Consider the following 1,510-nt stretch of genomic DNA (forward strand, 5'->3'; position numbering starts at 1 on the left):
GGGAGGAGAAACAGACAGGAAACCTGGGAGCCTCGCGGGGCTGGGCTGGGCTGTCAGAGCCTGCGCGATCCGTCCTCCCTTCCCCTCCTATACGGCTTGGGCGACCTTGCTCCCGAGGGCGCATCCCGCATCTCCCTGACTCTGCCCCCAACTCTCTGTTGCTCCTCTCTATGCGTTGTCCCTCTGTCTCCTTATTTCTCCCCGTAGGCCTCCTCTGGTTCGTCCTGACCCGGATAAGGAGGCCTAGCATGCGCGTGGGGGCTGGAGGCCTGGGAAAGGAAAGGAAGGTGTCAGCAGGAGGTTTCCCTTGTTTCCATGATCTCCTCCCCTCCCACCTCTACAAAGCAGCATGAGTTTGGGCCACTATGGCAAGAACTAGCTAGCAGTCAGGCTGTTGGGTAATGGAAGAGGGCAGGTGAGAGAGGCTGAAGCCAAAACAGATGTGGAAATCAAGACTAACTGACTCAGAGAAAGGCACAAAGAGTAGCAACGCTAAGACTTGATAAAGTAACCCACACAGCCTTCCTGCCCCACAGACATACGTCCCACCTTTCCTCAGAGGACCGTGACATCCCTCCAAACAGCAAAACTGCCCCTTCTCCCTCCCCACCCTTCATAAAGCCCCTGGGAATGTCAGTGAGGAGGAAGAATAAACTACTACAGACAGGATTGCTTGGTACCTTGGTATTGCCTGGTAGGATTCTTCTCTATGTGGGGCTGGGACAAAAGACATTCTCAAAATTCTCCAGGAAAGTGGGTGGCCTGGGAGACACTGGCATTCTCAGATAGTTTTATCTGACTGAACACTTCTACCCACATCTTGGACTCTGGACTAGAGGAAAGGAGGGGGAAGGGGTTTGCCACTTTAGGCCAGCCTTAACTGGACTGTGATCAGGGAGGGGAGTATCAACAACTAGGCTAAGCCCCACAGCGAGTACACAAGAGACCTAAACATACACACACATGTGCACACGCACATACAGAGAAAGAGAGAGACAGAGAGACAGATTTAAGGCCAGGTGAACCAGTAAGATGAACAGTAACTCAGTAAAGTCAGATCTAAAAAAAATAGAAGAAGATAAACAGGGACAATATCTACACAGAATTAACGGCCGAGGGATCTTGGGTCCAAGGCAATTCAACAAACTGTCAGACAGTTGGGGTTGTTTTAAAGGCTGGAAAGAAATTTTCAGAGAAAGACACCTCAAAATACAGAGGCACTGAGAGGTTAAAAGAAATCTCCTCAGCTCCTAGCACAGGGTTTAGGTACTCAGATACATGCTTATGGAATAGATTAGTGAGTGGGGATTAAGGTGTAATTCATTTAAAGTTTTAGGACCCAGCTCAAATCTCAGTTCAATCCAGTAAGTATTAAACACTTACTTGAGACACAATCTACTACACAATCCACTGTGGGTTGTGGTTCCAGACTTTAAGAAAATGATAATATATTTGAATTAAAATAAGATTTGCACATACTAAACTATTAAAAAGTCTAAACTATTAAAAA

General features: G+C 47.6%; 1 annotated feature.

The window, feature by feature from the left end:
• Nucleotides 64–123: a silencer, noted in NCBI's record as "silent region_1315". NCBI's record gives its function as "represses an Ori minimal core promoter by ATAC-STARR-seq in GM12878 lymphoblastoid cells {active_cell/tissue: GM12878}" and the evidence as "EXISTENCE:reporter gene assay evidence [ECO:0000049][PMID:35858748]".

The sequence above is a fragment of the Homo sapiens genome, chromosome 1, assembly GCF_000001405.40.
Source record: "Homo sapiens chromosome 1, GRCh38.p14 Primary Assembly".
In the NCBI taxonomy this organism is placed as follows: domain Eukaryota; kingdom Metazoa; phylum Chordata; class Mammalia; order Primates; family Hominidae; genus Homo; species Homo sapiens.